General features: G+C 40.7%; 1 protein-coding gene, 1 long non-coding RNA gene and 1 other non-coding gene across 15 annotated transcripts in view, besides 7 other annotated features; 2 read left to right on the plus strand and 1 right to left on the minus strand.

The window, feature by feature from the left end:
• Positions 1-8,573: 8,573 nt before the first annotated feature.
• Positions 8,574-10,540, minus strand: AFTPH-DT (AFTPH divergent transcript). The gene has a single exon (NR_136167.1). It is a non-coding gene; the product is annotated as an AFTPH divergent transcript (long non-coding RNA).
• Positions 10,270-10,489: an enhancer, noted in NCBI's record as "active region_15893". NCBI's record gives its function as "activates an Ori minimal core promoter by ATAC-STARR-seq in GM12878 lymphoblastoid cells {active_cell/tissue: GM12878}" and the evidence as "EXISTENCE:reporter gene assay evidence [ECO:0000049][PMID:35858748]".
• Positions 10,591-11,091: an enhancer, noted in NCBI's record as "H3K27ac hESC enhancer chr2:64751340-64751840 (GRCh37/hg19 assembly coordinates)". NCBI's record gives its function as "activates a minimal SCP1, AML or CMV promoter by ChIP-STARR-seq in naive H9 embryonic stem cells {active_cell/tissue: H9 hESC(naive)}" and the evidence as "EXISTENCE:reporter gene assay evidence [ECO:0000049][PMID:30033119]".
• Positions 10,591-11,592: a biological region, named in NCBI's record as "H3K27ac hESC enhancers GRCh37_chr2:64751340-64751840 and GRCh37_chr2:64751841-64752341".
• Positions 10,690-10,849: a silencer, noted in NCBI's record as "silent region_11555". NCBI's record gives its function as "represses an Ori minimal core promoter by ATAC-STARR-seq in GM12878 lymphoblastoid cells {active_cell/tissue: GM12878}" and the evidence as "EXISTENCE:reporter gene assay evidence [ECO:0000049][PMID:35858748]".
• Positions 10,713-18,004, plus strand: part of AFTPH (aftiphilin) — a 68,678-nt gene continuing 61,386 nt past the window's right edge. For all 13 annotated transcript variants that reach the window (NR_164746.1, NR_164747.1, NR_172363.1 and 10 more), the window contains exon 1: positions 10,713-10,997. The gene's annotated coding sequence lies outside the window, so the exon portion shown is untranslated. The remainder of the gene's footprint in view (positions 10,998-18,004) is intronic.
• Positions 10,880-10,959: a silencer, noted in NCBI's record as "silent region_11556". NCBI's record gives its function as "represses an Ori minimal core promoter by ATAC-STARR-seq in GM12878 lymphoblastoid cells {active_cell/tissue: GM12878}" and the evidence as "EXISTENCE:reporter gene assay evidence [ECO:0000049][PMID:35858748]".
• Positions 10,970-11,219: a silencer, noted in NCBI's record as "silent region_11557". NCBI's record gives its function as "represses an Ori minimal core promoter by ATAC-STARR-seq in GM12878 lymphoblastoid cells {active_cell/tissue: GM12878}" and the evidence as "EXISTENCE:reporter gene assay evidence [ECO:0000049][PMID:35858748]".
• Positions 11,092-11,592: an enhancer, noted in NCBI's record as "H3K27ac hESC enhancer chr2:64751841-64752341 (GRCh37/hg19 assembly coordinates)". NCBI's record gives its function as "activates a minimal SCP1, AML or CMV promoter by ChIP-STARR-seq in naive H9 embryonic stem cells {active_cell/tissue: H9 hESC(naive)}" and the evidence as "EXISTENCE:reporter gene assay evidence [ECO:0000049][PMID:30033119]".
• On the plus strand, positions 11,898-11,950 carry MIR4434 (microRNA 4434). Its single transcript, NR_039633.1, has one exon. It is a non-coding gene; the product is annotated as a microRNA 4434 (primary transcript).

Here is an 18,004-nt window from a genome sequence, read left to right on the forward strand (position 1 = left end):
GTGGTGTTTTACAAATGTAATATTCTGTAATTTGCTCTATTTTTATTGTTAGTAGAACCTTATCAATGTTCTATTATGACAAGAATCTAAATTGTAAAGAAACTTTGAAATGATGTATATTTATGTTGCTGTTAGGAACATACTAAATTTCATACCATCAATTTCATTTATTCAATTATGCATTCACCTGATAAATGTTAGATGAGCACTACCCTAGGCACTAGAAATAGAAGTTAAAATACAGTTCCTTCCTTTAAAGTCATCAATTTCGTGGAGCAGGCAGTTTAGGAAATTAGAAATTCCAATGGATATGATAAACACAATATTATAGACACACACAAGGCACTGCAGAGGCTAGAAGAGGAGCAACAAATTTGGGGATGGAGAGTGGAGATAGGATGTCAGTGAAGGCTTCCAGGAGGAGTAACTCTTGAGCTTTGAATTTTATCTTAAGGAAAAAACAGGAGGCAGCTGTATCCATCAGAGTTCTTAGTCACCAGCAACAGAAATCAGCATTGGCTGATTAAGCAGAAAAGAAACTTATTAAAATGTTGTTAGGTAGCTCACAGAATTTCCTGGATTACTCAAGAACCGGACTCAGAGTCCACATAGCCAGAAATATCTCTCAAAATCATGCCAGAAAACTGGTCTAGTGAGGATACTGCTGAAGCTGACATTGCCAGTACCACTACCCATAGACATTAAGCAGCAACTAGCACCTGGTGTCCCAGAAGTTTAGTCTTGCTGCAGCTGCTAACATCACCATCAGAGAAAAATTATCTGTAGTTCTTGCTTCTAAGTGCCACTGGCTCCCAAAACAAAGTCTGGGACAGAGACATCTGATCAGGCCAGCCTAGGTCACAGGACTGCACCCAGCTGCAAAGGAAGCTAGGAAAATAGGTATCCCTGTTTTCAATATCAATTACTGCACAACAAACCACCTTAGTGGTTTAAAACATCAATAACCATAATTATACCCCAATATTCTGTAGGTTGACTTGGCTCAACTGGACAGTTCTTCTGCTCCAAGTGGTATCTGCTGGGTCATCAATCATCTGAAGGCTTTTCTGCCTGGGATGTTCAAGACAGTTTGCTCACATAGCTGGCTGTCGTCTGTGAGCTCAGTCAGAGCAGGTCAGTTCTCCCATGGGGCCTCTTCATATAGATTGGGCTTCCACAGCATGGTGCCCTGAAGATAGTTGTACATTTTACAAAATATCTCCCTTCCAAGAGGAAGCATCCCAAGCAACAAGATGAGAAGCTTCAGATCTCTTAATGCTCAGCCTGGGAAGTTACAGAGCATCACTTCTACCCATTCTAGTGGTCAAACCAAGTCACAGGCTAGCACACACTCAAGAAGAAAGACAAGCTCCATTTCACAATGCAAGGAATGGCAAAAAAAAAAAAAAAAAAAAAGCAGCTATCTTTAATTCCCTACACTGGCATTTTCAGCTTTTATACTCAGATGAAGTCTTTCCCTCCTACCTAGACTCATAAGTTGGAGATTTACTGAAATCTAGGAAATGAGTTTAGATGCTGAGCCATTAATGACAACAACAAAAAGACAATTGTCCACTGTTAGAAGGAAGAAGAGCGTTCAAAGCAGAGGGAACAGTATTGGAAAGTCATAGAGAGGACTTTAGCTGGCACTGCCACTTGAATAGCACGCTACTCATGATGATATAATTCCTGCCATTCTCTTGCTAACACTGCGTTAGAACTGCTCCTTGCTGAGCAGAGTTGTAATTCTACTGTATTTGTGCACATTAGAGGGTTTAAACTAATTACAATTGATTCAGAAGTTGCAGTACTTGCTGGTTTTCTCCTTTCTACATCTTTAAAATCCTTTTCAAGATCATTGTTAACAAGATCTGTTCCAGGATCAGAAATGTGTATTTGACAATGATAGCCTAGGGAATGCAGTAATTTGGAAATAAATAAATCCAGATCTCATCTGCATACTAAGGTGTTTTAAAATTTTCTTTTTCATTATGAATATATTCAAAGTGGAAAAAAGTAGAAAGAATGGTACAATATTTTCACAACCCAGATTTGATTTAATAATTGCTGGCATTTTGGCATGCTTTCTTTATGTACATGGAGTATTTTTCCTGAACTATCTTAAAATAAGTTACGGACATCATGACATCTGCAAAAAGTAAGGGCATTATCTTACATATCCATAATTTCATTATTCTATCTTAAAAAAAATTGACAATAATTCCCTGAATGTTTAATATGGGCTCAGAGGCCAGAGCACCAGAATTATTGTCTCTGTCAGCTCTAGCACACCAGAGGTCCAAAATGTCAGCAGGGAGTTCAGCATTGAAAATCTCTTGAAAGCTAGTTTGACAATGCGGCTCCCCCAAGTGATTTTAAGTTTTGGAGAGCAGCAGCAGACCCTGGAGGGACCCAGAATTAGCAACCCCAGTAGACAGAATTACCTGAGGCAATATCAGTGGCAGCTGGCAGCTTCAGGGTGTTCTGAAACAGGGTTTCAAGGGGGCATTTATTTTCTTTTGGCTATTAGCTTATTATTTAACCACTTAACAAGCATTAACGAGTAGGTCAAGACTTATCCCAGGTGCTGTGGGGGCATAAAGATGAAAAAGGTATTCCCTGTCCTCCAGGAGCTTGTAGCCTAATATCAGGTACAGGTAAGGGTTTTGCATGTGCTTTATGCACTTTTCTATTCAGTTACAGACATCATGACATTTTGGCCATCTGCAAAAACTAAGGACATTCTCTTATATCTCTATAATTTCATTATTCTATCTTTAAAAATTGACAATAATTCCCTGAATATTTAATGCCAGGCCATATTCAGGCTTCCTCAACTATCTCCAAAATATCTTTTAGAAATGGCTTAGTTTATTCAAATAAGAATTCAATCAAGAACCATGCATTTCACTTGGTCATTAATCCTCTAAAGTCTCTTTTAATCTAGAATATTACTTTTGAAGAGACAAAGTTATCTGTCTTGTAAAATAATCCATATGCTAGATGTGCATGCTTGTTTCCTTATAGTGCCATTTAACTGGTTCCTCCAGTATTTCCTGTAAACTAGAAGCTGAATTTAAAGGCTTATTTAGATTCCAGGATAAATATGTTTGGCAAGAATACTGTGTAGTTCTGTATCTGTGTACTTTACATTGCATCACATCAGGAGGCTCGCTGTGTTCAATTGTCTTTGTCTTTTAGTGGGGGTTGGGGAGGGAGGCAGCAAAGCAAAAATAATACCTGCCAGGCTGGATGAGGCAAAATAGTCTAAGACAGGGTCACAGTGGAACCAAAAGTGTAGTAGAGAGATGTGTTAACCAGCCCCCTAAGATGTTGTCTGCCTCTGAGCCCTTGGCTTTGGGCTGAATCCCTCACCTGAGAGGACAGATGCTCCTCTTGATGGTATTTATGAAGGGAAGCAAAGTGCCCACCCACTCTGATTCTGACTGGGATCTGAGAACAAGACCCTCCTATACCCCAGGGCAAGCTCCCAGCACAGCCTCTGCACAGGTCTCTCCTGCTCAGTTCCGGGTAAGGACTGCTCTGATTTCCTAATAAGAAAAACAACACAATACAGCAACACTTATTTCATGGGCCCTACAGAGCTACAAGAACTTAGAGTCTGGTGCACTCAATATGGGCACAGACTAGAGCACCAGAATTATCGTCTCTGTCTCAGCTCTAGCACACCAGAGGTCCAAAATGTCATCAGGGAGTTCGGCATTGACAATCTCTGGAAAGCCAGTGTGACCGTGTGTTCAGGGGAGCAGCGGCAGACACTTGAGGGACTCAGAATTAGCAGCCCCAGTAGACAGAATTCTCTGAGGCAGTATCAGTGGCAATTGGCAGCTTAAGGGTGTTCTGAAACAAGTTCATTCTCAAACTTGGCACGACTGATATTTTGGGTTGGATAATTCTGCATTTTGGGGGGCTTTCATCTGTAATGTAGGATGTTTAGGGATATTCCTAGCCTCTACCTACTAGATGCCAGTTGTAGCCCCACATCAGTTGTGACAACTAATGGTGTCTCCAGACATAGGTAAATGTCACCAGGTTGGTGGGGAGGGGCTTGTGTCAACATTGCCCCATTTGAGAATCTTTGGTCTGGGGGAAAGGTCAATTTGGTGACAGTAGGGTTTTCCATTAAGAGACTAATACTGGGCTCAATGTAGGAATCTTTTACATACATTAATTCATTTCAGCTGGATAGCAACTCTGTGGGGTGGGAACATTTTCTTGATTTTTGCAGCTGAGGAAAGTTCTCTGCAAGGTTCTATGATGTTGCTAACGTTCATATCTGGGCCGATCCCACTTTGAAGCTGATCCTGTTCATGTACCAAGCTGCCTCTTTCTGACAGCACAATGTCAGCATCCCAGGCCTGGCTGCAATAGAGAAGTGTGGGGGACTGTCTTTTTTTGAGACAGGGTCTCACTGTGTCCCCCAGGCTAGAGTGCAGTGGCTCAGTCACTTCTCACTGCAGCCTCAACCTCCCAGGCCCAAGTGATCCTCTTACTTCAGCCTCCCAAGTAGCTGGGACCACAGGTGTGCGCCAATACACCCGGCTAATTTTTTTTATTATTTGTAGAGATGGGGTCTCCCTGTGTTGCCCAGGCTTGGGACAGTCTTGAAGGAGCATCATCTCAGGGCCAGGAGCAGCTTCTGGGTTCACGGCATTGATCTGGTTGGAGTTCCCAAAGGGCAATGGGAAGTTCCACTGGTGCTCTTCATGGGGCCACTTGAATGAAGACTCGAAGAAGAGATAGCCAGGAGAGTAGCTTTGGAGCTAGGGGTACATGGAACATGTTAAAGACTTTGAAGTGAAAGTGGTGGGCTCCTGAGAAATAACAATGAGAGGATTATCCCTAAATTCTTTATATACAAGATCCTAGCCTCCAAAGACATCTGAGATCATTCAAGACTTGCAGCATGAGAACAGTGCCTGGACAAACCATACTTTACTGGAACAGCTATAGGGTTGAGAGAAGCTCCCTCTGGGACCCCCGCAGAGAGGAAGGGCTGGTTTTTGGGAAGGGGAGGGCCTAATGCATGGGGCCTCAAGGAGCTGGAGAAGTACTCCTCAGCAGAACAATTGGATACACTGGGGCAAACACATATCTGAAATGAAGCATTTCTCAAACTATTCCAGCAGATCTTCCTCTTCTTTGAACTTGTTACTTTTATTGTCAATCCTATGCAGCTTCAGCACTTAATTATTCTCCATTTGATAGAATCAGAAGTTTCAAGGTGACAATTGTTTCAGGTATATCAGTCTTGTCTCCCCAACTAGACTGTTAACTCCTGTTTCTGGGCAGGAACCAAAGCCTGTTTCTTTACAGTCCCTCAGCACAGAAATAGAGGAAGCTGAGTGCATAAAGGTGTTCAGTAAATTGTTAATTAATTTAAAAAGAAAAATTACAAAAATAATAATCAAGGATAGGATCATAAATTGATATTACACCTGTATAACTATAAAACAATTGAAAGACATGATAAATAGCAAAGCCTCAAGAAAGCTATTAAAAATACATTAAATTTTTCAGCTGGGCGTGGTGGCTCATGCTTGTAATCCCAGCACTTTGGGAGGCCAAGGCAAGCGGATCACCTGAGGTCCAGAGTTCAAGACCAGACCGGCCAACATGGTGAAACCTCGTCTGTACTAAAAATACAAAAATTAGCTGGCCAAGGTGGCGCACACCCGTAATTCCAGCTACTAGGGACGCTGAGGCAGGAGAATCGCTTGAACCCAGGAAGTGGAGGTTGCAGTCAGCCAAGATTGCGCCACTGCACTCCAGCCTGGGCAACAAGAGAGAGACTCCATCTCAAAAAACAAACAAACAAACAAACAAACAAACAAAAAAAACAGAAATACATTAAATTTTTTTTTCTAGAACTACCCACGCCACTCATTCAATGGAATGTCATTTACTGAATAAATATGTATCGCCATCAACCATGTACCAGGCCACTTTCTTGAAGTTGGGAATATAGAAATGAATAAAGCAGACAGAAGTCTCTGCCTTCATGCAACTGTTAAAATTGCATGAAAACTATTTCTATTGTATTTCCCTGGATCCTATGACTACACAAATTTAAAGACAGATGTAGGTTTTAAACAAAGGTTCAGCATTGTACAATAGAAATATAATGTGAGCCACATTGTGATTTAAAATTTTCTAGTAGCTAGTTTTAAAAAGTAAAAAGAAACAGGTGAAATTAATTTTAATGTTTTACTTTATATATTTTTGTCATGACTCACTGCAAGGTTTCCACTTCTCTTCACCTTGAAATAAGGGACAAAAGTAGAAATAGAGTTATCACTTCCACAGTGCCCTGAGGCCAATCTCCTTCAAAATAAAGGAGACTTTTCTCCTGAGAGACAAGTTGCTCAGAAAGGTCATGTTTTCTCCAGGTGATCAGGCTGAATTTCACAACATAGCAGGTTGATAGTGGAACCATTATAGCACATAATGAGCCCTTCAAAGCTTTGCTCAGAGCCAAAAGAGAGGCTTGAAGACTAGAATAAAGAAGAAGGTTGGGCTGCAGCTCCCTTCAGGAGAACACTCCATCTATATTGCTCCATATGTGGTAAGCCCATGAGTGGGTACAGGTTCAGTCCTTGGGGCTGTGAAGTGCAAGATCAAGGTGCCAAGAGATTTGGTTGTTTGGTGCGTGCTGTTCTCTGCTTCCAAGATGGCACCTTGTTGTCAAATCCTCCAAAGGGGGTGGAACGCTGGTCCTCATGTAGCAAAAGAATATGTCTAGATAAATCTAGGAAATTAGTTTGAGGTCTTTGATTTAAATGTTACGTATTCAGGTCAATTACCACTACCAGAAGCCCATCCTTCAAAAGTTTTTCGTTGGAAAGTTCTATAAAATTTGTTAGAACTTTATATACAGAATTTGAGCCTTTAAAAAATTTGCTGAAAAAGTTTCAGCACCTTTAGAAATAATGTAGTCAAACAGCAGTTTCTTCCCTACCTCTCCAATTTTATGGATAAAATTAATACTGTCTTAACAGGTTAAGACATATTAAATATTGAAATATTCAATATTTTCCCTGATACATTGAATATGTCCATAAAGTTCTAGATATCCAGTACTCCAGGAAGTACTATAACACCAAATTGTAATTTTTATTATTTATGCAATAAATTTGATAAGCAAATCCAAGAAAGATCAGTGGGAATGATTAAGAAACAAAATCTCTGTTGCTCATCACACTTTGGGAAAGTCGCTCATTATTATTATTATTATTATTATTATTGAGAAGGGGTCTTGCTCTGTCAGCCAGGGTGGAGTGCAGTGGCGCAATCACAACTCACTGCATTCTTGACCTCATGGGCTCAGGTGATCCTCCTACCTCAGCCTCCCGAGTAGCTGGGACTACAGGAGCATGCCACCTCACCTGGCTAATTTTTTGTAAAGATGGAGTTTCACCATGTTACCCAGGCTGGTCTTGAACTCCTGGGCTCAAGTGATCTGCCCACCTCGGCCTCCCAAAGTGCTGGGATTACAGGCGTCACCCATCATGCCCAGCCTAATAACCTATTTTTATAGAACTGTATGAAGGACATATTTCAAGAGGTAGTGGTGACATAATACCTGTAATCCCAGCGTTTTGGGAAGCCAGGGTGGGTGAATTGCTTGAGCCCAAGAGTTTGAGACCAACCTGGGCAACATAGTGAGACCCCATCTCTACAAAAAATAAAAAAATTAGCTGAGCGTGATGACATGCACCTGCAGTCCCAGCTACTTCGGAGGCTGAGGTAGGAGGATCCCTTGAGCCCAGGAGGTTGAGTCTGCAGTGAGCCGTGATGGCACCACTGCACTCCAGCCTGCGCAATGGAGGGAGAACCTGTCTCAAAAAAATAAAAATATAAATAAATAAATAAATAAATAAAATTTTAAGTAAATGTTTAGATACAGAAAGGACCTTGGCGATTATCTGGTGCATATTTCTTAAGCTGTGGTTCAAAGACCCTCTTCTGTGAATGAGCTTTAGGATGAGAAATTTGAGTGTCTGTGGATACAAGCATTTTTCTATAGAAAGAGCCAAAGCTTTTACCGTATTCTTAAAGAGATACATGTGCCAAAACATTATTTGTCCTAAGAGGGTTGAGAACCTGTGATCTGACTGTATTCTCTCATTTGTTATATAAGGAGACTGAGGTCAAGAGAGGTTGAGTAACTTATACAAAATCATAGTGACAACAGAACTGGTCATAGACCCAGGTTCTACGCATATTGCTTTTCCAGAACACCAACACATTGCTGAGGTTTTGTTCTTGCTTGTCTGTTAATTTCTTACACAATATAAAATGAATTAAACTGTTTTCACTTTTTATTCTTTCCATCTTTTTTTCCCCTCTTAATTATCATTCACTGCTGGTTGGTAAGGAGGTGGTAAAATTAGTGCACTCATATATTGCTGGTGGCATTCTAAATTAGCAGTCTCTTGGAAAATAATATGAGATGATAAATTACCAATAAAACATTCATTGCCTTTTCGCTTAGTAACTTTTATACTGAGAAAAAAAATTCTAAAATTGAACAAAGCCACACACACAAAATGTTCATCTAAGTATTATTTTATAATACTGAAAACTATCCATATAGTGGTCATTCCATTGACTACTAAGCAGCCAATTAAAATTAAGGTTTTACATTAAACGATGGGTGGAAATGCTTACAACACAAAAGGGACACAAAATCTACTTAAATTATGATTACAAGTTTGTAAAAAGTACGCACAGGAAAAAAAAACTAGAAGTAAATACAACAAATGTTAACTGGTAATTTTTTTCTTCTTCTTTTCTTGATGCCAAATCTTAGGTAATGCAGTTATGGCCATAATTTTTAAAAGGTAAATAAAAACAATACTATCATTGACTCCAAATGAAATGGACTTTATATTTCCCACAGATTTATCACCTTAAAAACACTCAAATACTTTCCCTTTGTAATAAAATGTCATGAGCATTAGGGCACTGTCTTCGGAATTACATGTAAGATTACCAATTACAAGTTAGTTGGCCAAATAGGTACTCAATTTCCCTATTACAAAATTGTAAGCTGATGGGGGGTGTGCAATTTAATTTAATTTTTTTTTAGACAGGGTTTCACTCTGTCGCGCAGGCTGGAGTGCAGTTTAAATTCATTTAGTTTAAACATGTTCTTAGTGTAGGGTCTGCTTTAAGGTCTAGTCATATGTTCTTATTTTGATATTTCTGTTTAGTAGAGCTGTAAAATGAAAACAAGCATGTGTTCGTTTAAAATCAATTTCTAGTTTCTACACACACACAAATTCAAGCTTGCACACGAGCTAAACCAGCAGGGGGCGAAATACAATAGGCATAAATTTGACAAGCCATATAGATTTTTCTTACTTTAGTGACTGAGCAATAACACAAAATCCAGCATAACCACAAAGCAATTGATACTCCCATTTAAAGTGATGCAGTCTCCGTATATCTTACAGCGATTGAATAGTAAAGAGACAAATGCGGGTCCATTGGAGCGCTCCGAGTTAATTTGTCTAGAACATTGCAGAGGCGGGATAAATCGTGATGAACTGCTATTGTCCTTATCTTTCTCCTGATTTGTATAATTCCTCCACCCAAAGGGGTGGACACTTCTCTGTGCCTGAGGGGATGTTTTCCATTCTTGTTTCTTTGCGTAACTGCTGAGCTTTGCTGTTTTGGAACTATTTTAAATTATTCAAATTACTGATGCAGACGTTTGGCAAATATGGGCAGAATGAGGGGCCGGCGGGGGTCATGATTTGTAGGACCCCGGGCTCATCATCCGAGACAGTAATCATAATCCTGTAGCCTTGTAGTCTGATTGTTACACTGGCAGGTGTTCTAACAGATATTCATTGTAAAGGAGGAGGAAAGGTAATATTTTTATTACCTTTATATAAATAACAGTTGATTATATAAATAATCAACTGTTCAGGACTGATGATGGAAACAAAATCGGTTACGACCTCTGTTCCAGAAATGCGTTTGAATGCATAAGTTTATGGTGATCTCTTTAGCTTCACTAGATATTCTCCGTAAGGGTCTATGAAAAACGACCACCTTCTCCATCCATTAGCCAAATTCCGGACTACTATTTTCTTGTCGGTCTCGAAGACGATTTGTCAGTTTGGCGGCTGCTTTCCCACCTTAAATTCTATTTATCGCAACCTCTTGTTATTTGTTAAATATCAGCTTCTTCCTCTGTCGGCATAAATTTAAAAAGAGGAAGAGACAGGCTGTGAATGAAAAAGTCGTTTTTCGGGGCGAAAAGGGCAAGCTGACGAATGCTCTCTAGTAGGTTTTTGGTAAAAATGTGGTTCTATATTTCCAAACCTTTACAATTTTATTTGGAGAGCAAGAGACTTAATCCGGTCTTGAGCTGAACGTTAACCGGCTGAAAGGAGCACCTGTCCTTCGCCAGGAGCGCAGCCTCAACCGGCGCCTGAGTGCGGGAAGACGTCTATCCCCCTACAGCTCTATGACTCGCAAGGAAGTAAAAGGAAAGGGCAGCTTGCCCGCACCCAAAATGGCGGTCGGCGCTCTGCACGACAGCGCCTGCGCAGGGATAAGCGTTCTGTGACACCAATTCCCCTGGAGTGTCCTCCCCCACCCCACAGCACCCACCAGCGCCCGGTCCCGACCTAGCCACCTGCGCCCGGAAGTGACGTGTCGGCGGCAGCGGTTCCCCCGCTGCATGATGGGAGAGTGTGTGGAGTGGGCGGGGGGTCTCCGCGGAGGAGGTGGAGGAGGCGGCGGCGGCGGCGGAAGAGGGCGGAGGGTAGTGGGATGGGGGTCCCGCGGCAGCGGTGAAACTCCGGGTGGGCGTCCATGGTGCTGCTGCGCTGACAGGGCTGTGAGCAGCCGGCCTTCCGCTCTCACCAGTTCCGCGTCGGAATAGACGGTCCTTCCCCGGGGAGTCAGTTCCTCCCCGGGCCCCTGAGCCATGCCCATCGCAGCCGCCCCGAAGGAGCCAGGTAAGCGCCGCCGCTCCGCTCCCCTAGCTGCGCCGGGGAAAGAGGGTGCGGGGACCAGGCCCGGCCCAGCAGCCAGACCCTCACCCGGGCCGGGAGCATCTGCCCGCCGCGGAGCCGGGAGCTGTGAGGACGGAGCTGGCTCTGCGGGCCTGCGGGCTCCCGGCTCTGCTCTCTTCTGCGGCGAGTGCGGGAACGCCGCTGGTGGCGCCCGAAGCGCACGGCCCCCTCCTCGCCATCCCGGGCACCGGCCGGGTAAGTGGGAGTCCTTCCCTCCCCGGCCACCGCCGGCTCTCCCTGCCCCTTTGCTTCCACCTCCCAAAGCTCCGCGCTGGCTGCGTTCTCCAGGGAGCTGTTCAGAAGTTTGGGGCTTTGCTTGGGCTTCTTCGCTCTCCTTCCCCCTCCCTCGTGACAGGTGTAAACACTGCCTCCTTCACCGAGGCCCGAGGCTGGCCGCGACCTGAGTGTGCTGCTTCCAAGGGTCTCTGAAGCAAGCGAATTTGGAATCCTCCAACAGGCAGAGGGGACAGCCCCAAAGCTCACGCATCCCTTCCTCAGAGTACCTTTTCTGCTGTCTTCTTGCACTCTTCAAGAAATTATCTGCGTCTCCTCTCCAGTTTGCGTTTGAAAAGTTGGACCATATTCCTTAAGTGCCTGGTTTGGCAGGTGCTGCGTCTTGCTTGGGGCAGAGGCAGAGTATGGAGTGAGGGGTGGTAGGGTCCTTGCTCTATTAGGAAAGTAATGGGGATAGCAAGGTTTTTTTTTCCTTGTTGCTTTGTGCAAGTTATAGCTTGGTTATACTGAATCTTTTCTGTTGGGGCCGAGGGAAGAACTGACTCATACATGTAAATTTTTTACTGGGCGGGGGGATGAAACAAAAGTAATGGTTCCGTTTCAAAGTTCTCACTTTAGGAGAAGTAAAGTAGAACTTTGGTTTTCAACTTTTCCTACAGTGTAAGTCTTCCTTCCACCTCCTATTCCGAGGATTTTATTTGGTGGAGGGGAGACACAGAGTTTATCTTTGATGCTACACTTAATTGTTGCTTTCAGTTAACCTCTTAGACATTAAAATATATGCTAAACTCTAGGGACAACAAATGTTTCAACATTATTATGTTAATATAATTAACACAGTCACGTACATTTTATATGCTTTACCAGTTTAAATGTTGGCTTTTTTAGTAGTCATTTTTAACACTTCGCAGAGGTATATTTGTTTAAACAAAGTATCTGTGGTAGTCTCCTAAATTTTGTTCATAAAGATATTTCACATGGATTAAAAGACAGATCTTGTGTAAAACATCTAGCCCAGTAAATGGCACCTAGCAGATATTCATTAGCTCTAGTTGTTCCTCCGTGGATTAAATTAGATATATCAGTTGATCTTCAAAGTACACATATATTTTTAAATCTTCAAAAACCTCTGGAAAAAAATCCACTACAATTCACATAATATGTAGGGCATTTAAGTTTTAATGTTTGCTGATCTTTTGACCTAGAGACTGTTAAAAAATAATCCCGTATCACAACAAGGATAATATGTCCTTAATAGCCTTGATACATCTTGCCGAATCCAGTTTTCGTTATGAAAATTGTATAGTGTGGGTGAATCATATCATAAAACATCATTTTACATTTTCATTTGTTCTGCTTACATTTAGTGAAAAACTAGTTCAGAAATGTAGTGACATTTGAGTACCAAATAATGTTTTATTTTGTGTGAAATCTAAAGTGCTTTCCTCAGCAGGCAAAGTCTTTGAATAGCTTCTCATTAAGGGATTGCCCCTTCTCTCCCAACCCTTCCCCCAAATCTCATAAAAGGAGGCCGCTAAGTATTTAGATATTTTTTAATCATCATAAATTATTTAAATAAAATGTTTATATTCTAATTTAATGTTACCTACACTTTGTAGATTAAAAAATAAAGGTTTTTCCCTCTATTCTTAGCACTTTCAATTCCTTTTTAAGTAGAATAGTGAACCTTTCTAGCCGGAACTTTATAAGTATTTTTAGTTTTTACACTATTTTGAAAATCTGGCATTGTATGGATTTTACATATCTCATTTTGCTAATCATTTTCTCAGTTTGTGCATATATCAGATATAGTCACAAGTTCTTTTGCAGCTTTATATGATAATTGCTAACACATGAGCAGTATATATGTTGCTCATATATATTGCTTCCTATGAGCAAGATAGTTTTCTAAATGCTTTATATACAGTGTACTAACTCAATCCACACAACAACCTGTAAGGCAGTAAGTAGTAGTATCCCTCATTTTTCAGAGAGGAAACTGAGGCACACAGATACTAAGTAACTTGCCTTAGGTCAAACAGCTGTTAAGTGACAGATCCGTTTGCTAGACCATTTATATAGTCTCATGCAAAACTATACTATGTATTGTCTGTGATTTGTGCAATATGTAGCAAAAGTATAACAACATGCATGGGAATGATAAACACCAAGTCAGACTAAAAGTGACCTTTGGAGAACTTGAGAGGGATGAAGGATCTAGGAGGGGCCCATGGGTTTACAAACATATCTTTATATCCTTAAAAAAAATCCGAAGTTGACTTGTTAAGAGATTAAGATTTAACACACCTGGGTGATGGTTACTGGCTCATTCATTATGGCTTTTTTCTCCCTAAGGTTTGCATGAAGTTCTTCACAATGAAATTAAAAGTTTAAAGGCCGGGCATGGTGGCTCACACCTGTAATCCCAGCACTTTGGGAGACCGGGGTGGGCAGATCACCTGAGGTCGGGAGTTCAAAACCAGCCTGACCAACATGGAGAAACCCCGTCTCTACTGAAAATACAAAATTAGCCGGGTGTGGTGGCACATGCCTATAATCCCAGCTATTCGGGAGACTGAGGCAGGGGAATCGCTTGAACCCGGGAGGCGGAGGTTGCAGTGAGCTGAGATCATGCCAGTGCACTCCAGCCTGGGCAACAAGAGCAAAACATCATCTCAAAAAAAAAAAAAGAAATTAAAAGTTTAGGTATTTAACTTTAAAACATATATAAAGTATCACTCTTCTTTCAGCATTGTATATTTAAAAAAAGGACAGGAAAGGAGTTAGTATTATTTTGTGTTGACTTTCTTTTAAAATACAAGGAGCTTCTAAGTTAAAAAAATGTTTTTAATTAAGAATTGTTTGCCTCTCCAGATTCCTCTGCATTAACTTCCCTTGCCTGGACTCTTCCCTATTGCTGGCAACCATTTAACAGCCCTTTGTCACACTCCTAGTGTCTATTTCTGGCCTTTCCCTTCTAGGGTAGGGGCTCATAGGTCTGTGGATTAGACCTATTCCCAAGAAAAGGGAAAAGGTCAGAACTAAGTGGGGAGGAAGAAAGGAGGTGGGGAATCACTGCTTATTGATTTGGGATAATTGAGAAGAAGAGGGAAATAATGATTTAAGACTCCATCCTATGGTTGTCAGTCACTGTCACCCTTGTTCCAAATAGCTAACTTGAAGATAAACCTTGCAAAGATAGATTGCTAATTAATTAAAGGTTAATTTACTAGCACTGTATTTGTGAATAATTCCCATCGGAAAATTACACAGTAAATGAGAATTAATTTACTGTAGGTTCTATTTATGTAAATATTTACAGTATACCATAAACCATTTCAATTAAATATCTACTGACACCATGCATGTTATCTTCTTCCTTTCATTCATAAAACAAGTATCTATTGAGCACCTGCTATTTGTCCGGCCCTGTTCTAGGTGCTGGGGATACTGAAATGAGCAAACAAGAAAAAAAATCTGCCCTCCTACAGCTTCAGTTTCTTTATGTATATATGTATGTACTCACACATTTGTGTACATATTTGGGACAAATAAGCAAATAGCAATAAAATAAGCAATAGCAATAATGGCAGATGATGTTAAGTATCATCAGAAAAATGGAATCAGTTTTGGGGGATAGGGAGTGGTGAATTTTTTGCTTTGAGCCAGTAGTAAGGGAGGTTGGTGGGGCTTGCTGTTTTATATAGAGTGGAGTCAGAGAAGGCTTAAACCTGAAGAAGGGGAAGCAAATAAGAAGAGTGGTAGAGACAGAAGTATGCCTGGAATAGTCAAGAAATTGTGGCAGAGAAGTCTGGGGTGGATAGAATAGGGTGAACAAGTAGAAGAGTAGTACAAATTGTGATCAGAGTTAGAGGGTGAGAGGGGCAGTGTTTTAGGGTCCTTACAGAAATTCTAATGACTTAGGCTTTTTACTGTGGGAGATGGTAAGTCATTGCAGGATTTTTGAGTAAAGGTGTAAGATAATTTATGTTGTAAAAGGATCTGTCTAGCTGTTATATAGAAAATAGACTATAGGAGTGGAATGTAAGAATAGAAGCAGAGTCAGGAGAGAATTGTGCTGGTAGAGTTAAGAAGAGATGGTAGTGGCATGAACCAAGATGGTAGCAGTAGAGATGAGAAGTGGTAGGACAGTTTCTTGAATTGGAATCTGCAATAATTCCCTCATTTTTAAACTCAGAAAGCTTACAGAGGCACTCCCTTCTGAAAATTCAAGGCCCTTGCAACCTATGTTTCCAGCTTACTGCCTGTACCCTTCATATATCCTGTGTTCTAACCATATTTTATTATGTGTCTTACTGTTCCTTGATAGGGGCCCCATGCTTTATCTTTAATGACTACCATTTCCTCTGTCAATTAAATCCTTCCTATTTCAAATTTTCTCCTTTTTGAAGTTTTTTTTTTTTCACCATTCCTTCTCTTCCCAATCAAGTGTGATCTTTTTCTTAGAATCTTGGTAGCCACATTTTACTTCAGTGATGTTTATATTCTATCTTGCATTATTTTTGCTGTTCTCTTGTATTATTCTCCTTAATTAGCTGTAAGTTTCTTTAAGGTTGTGACTCCTTTTACTCAGTTCTACCACAGTTTTGTATGTAATAGATGCTCAGTAAATAGTGGGTGTATACATATTTAAATTTTTTAAAATAGTCTTATTGCAGAGGCATACAGGAGCATCATAGAAAATAGACAAGCAAAAAAAAACAAATCACTTTTTTTTTTTTTTGAGACAGAGTCTCACTGTGTCACCCAGGCTGGAGTACAGTGGAGTGATCATGGCTCACTGCAGCACAGACCTCCTGGGCTCAGGCAGTCTTCCTGCCTCAGCCTCCTAAATAGCTGGGACCACGGGCGCACACCACCATGCCTGGCTAATTGTTTTTATTAGTAGTAGAGACAGGGCCTTGTTATGTTGCCCAGGCTGGAAAAATTACTTTAAAAAAATCCCTCAGCCAGGCGCAGTGGCTCACGCATGTAATCCCAGCACCTTGGGAGGCCAAGGCGGGCATATCACTTGAGGTTTGGAGTTGGAGACCAGCCTGGCCAACATGGTGAAACCCCGTCTCTTCTAAAAATATAGAAAAATTAGCCAGGCATGGTGGCGGCCGCCTGTAATCCTGGCTACTGAGGAGACTGAGACAGGAGAATCACTTGAACCTGAGAGGTGGAGGTTGCAGTGAGCCAAGATCATGCCATTGCACCCCAGCCTGGACAACAGAGTGAGGCTCCGTCTCAACAACAACAAAAAAAAGCAAATCCCTCACTGTTACAGTTTATATAATAATGCATATTTTCCTACACATTTTAATATATATGTGTACTTTTTACCAAAATGAAGACTTGTTGTAGTGTTTTGTAGTTTTTTTTGTTTTAAGTCAGTTTAGTCATCTAAACTAATATTCAAGGCCATATTCAGATTCTTCCCCAGTTCACCCAAAAATGTCCCCTGGCAACTGATTTACCCAAATCATTATCTACATCATATTATGTTTTTCCAGTTATTAAAATTATGAAAAAATAATGTGCTTATTATAGAAAATTTGGGAAAATGTGGAAAAAAAGTAGAAAGAAAATGGGTGTGCCCATGATGGCAGGAACCCTTCTGTTTTAATGCCTGGCACAAAGTAACACTCAATAAATACATGTTAAGAGGGATAATAGAAGAAAAATATCACTGGTCATCATACTACAAAAAGAAAACTGTTAATATTTTGGTTTTCTTCCTGTTTTATTTTTACTGTGGATATGTGAGCATGTCATACATATACATATGAATCATATTGCGTTGATCTTTCTTTTACTTATTAAATTGTGAGCATTTCTCCATGTTACTAAATTTTCCTTAAAACATGCTTTTTGGCTGGGTGTGGTGGCTCACACCTGTAATCCCAGCACTTTGGGAGGCCGAGGCGGGAGTATCACTTGAGGTCAGGAGTTTGAGACCAGCCTGGCCAACATGGTAAAACCCCGTCTCTACTAAAAATACAAAAATTAGCCAGGCGTGGTGTCAGGCACTTGTAATCCCAGCTACTCGGGAGGCTGAGGCAAGAGAATTGCTTGAACCCGGGAGGTGGAGATTGCAGTGAGCCTAGATCACACCACTGCACTCCAGTCTGGGTGACAGAGTGAGACTTCATCTCAAAAAAAAAAAAAAAAAAAACACCACAAAATGAAAAAAACCATGCTTTTTAATGACTGTGTAGAATGCCATTTTCAAGTTATCTCTGCTATTTCCCACTAATGTGGGTTTTCCAGATTTTACCATCATAGAAGAGCATCTTGGTGAAAAAGTTTGTACATAATTCTTTGACCTTATTGTTGATTATTTTCATAGGATCAAATCTTAGAAGTAGAGTTATTAAGTCAGAGGGAAAGCCTGTTACTTTCTAAGAGGTTATAATAAAATCACTCCTACCAGCAGTGGTTGGGTCCCCATCTCCCTTATTTCCTCAGATGATCAGTAATATGCAGTTTTTAAATTACTGGAATTTTTATTTTGAATTTAGGCTTTTCAGCAGTGTGGAATGTTTGCATAATTTAAAATTTTTGAATGATTTAAACCTGAGATATGCCTTTATTTGATATAAGATTAATCTTGCTTAATGCCATGCTCTTTTTAAGTTAACCTATTCTGTTAGCAAGCTATTTAAGTATAAAAAAATACAGTACTATCTTCTAGAACTATCTTGTCTAATACA

The sequence above is a fragment of the Homo sapiens genome, chromosome 2 (genome assembly GCF_000001405.40).
Source record: "Homo sapiens chromosome 2, GRCh38.p14 Primary Assembly".
Taxonomy (NCBI): Eukaryota; Metazoa; Chordata; class Mammalia; order Primates; family Hominidae; genus Homo; species Homo sapiens.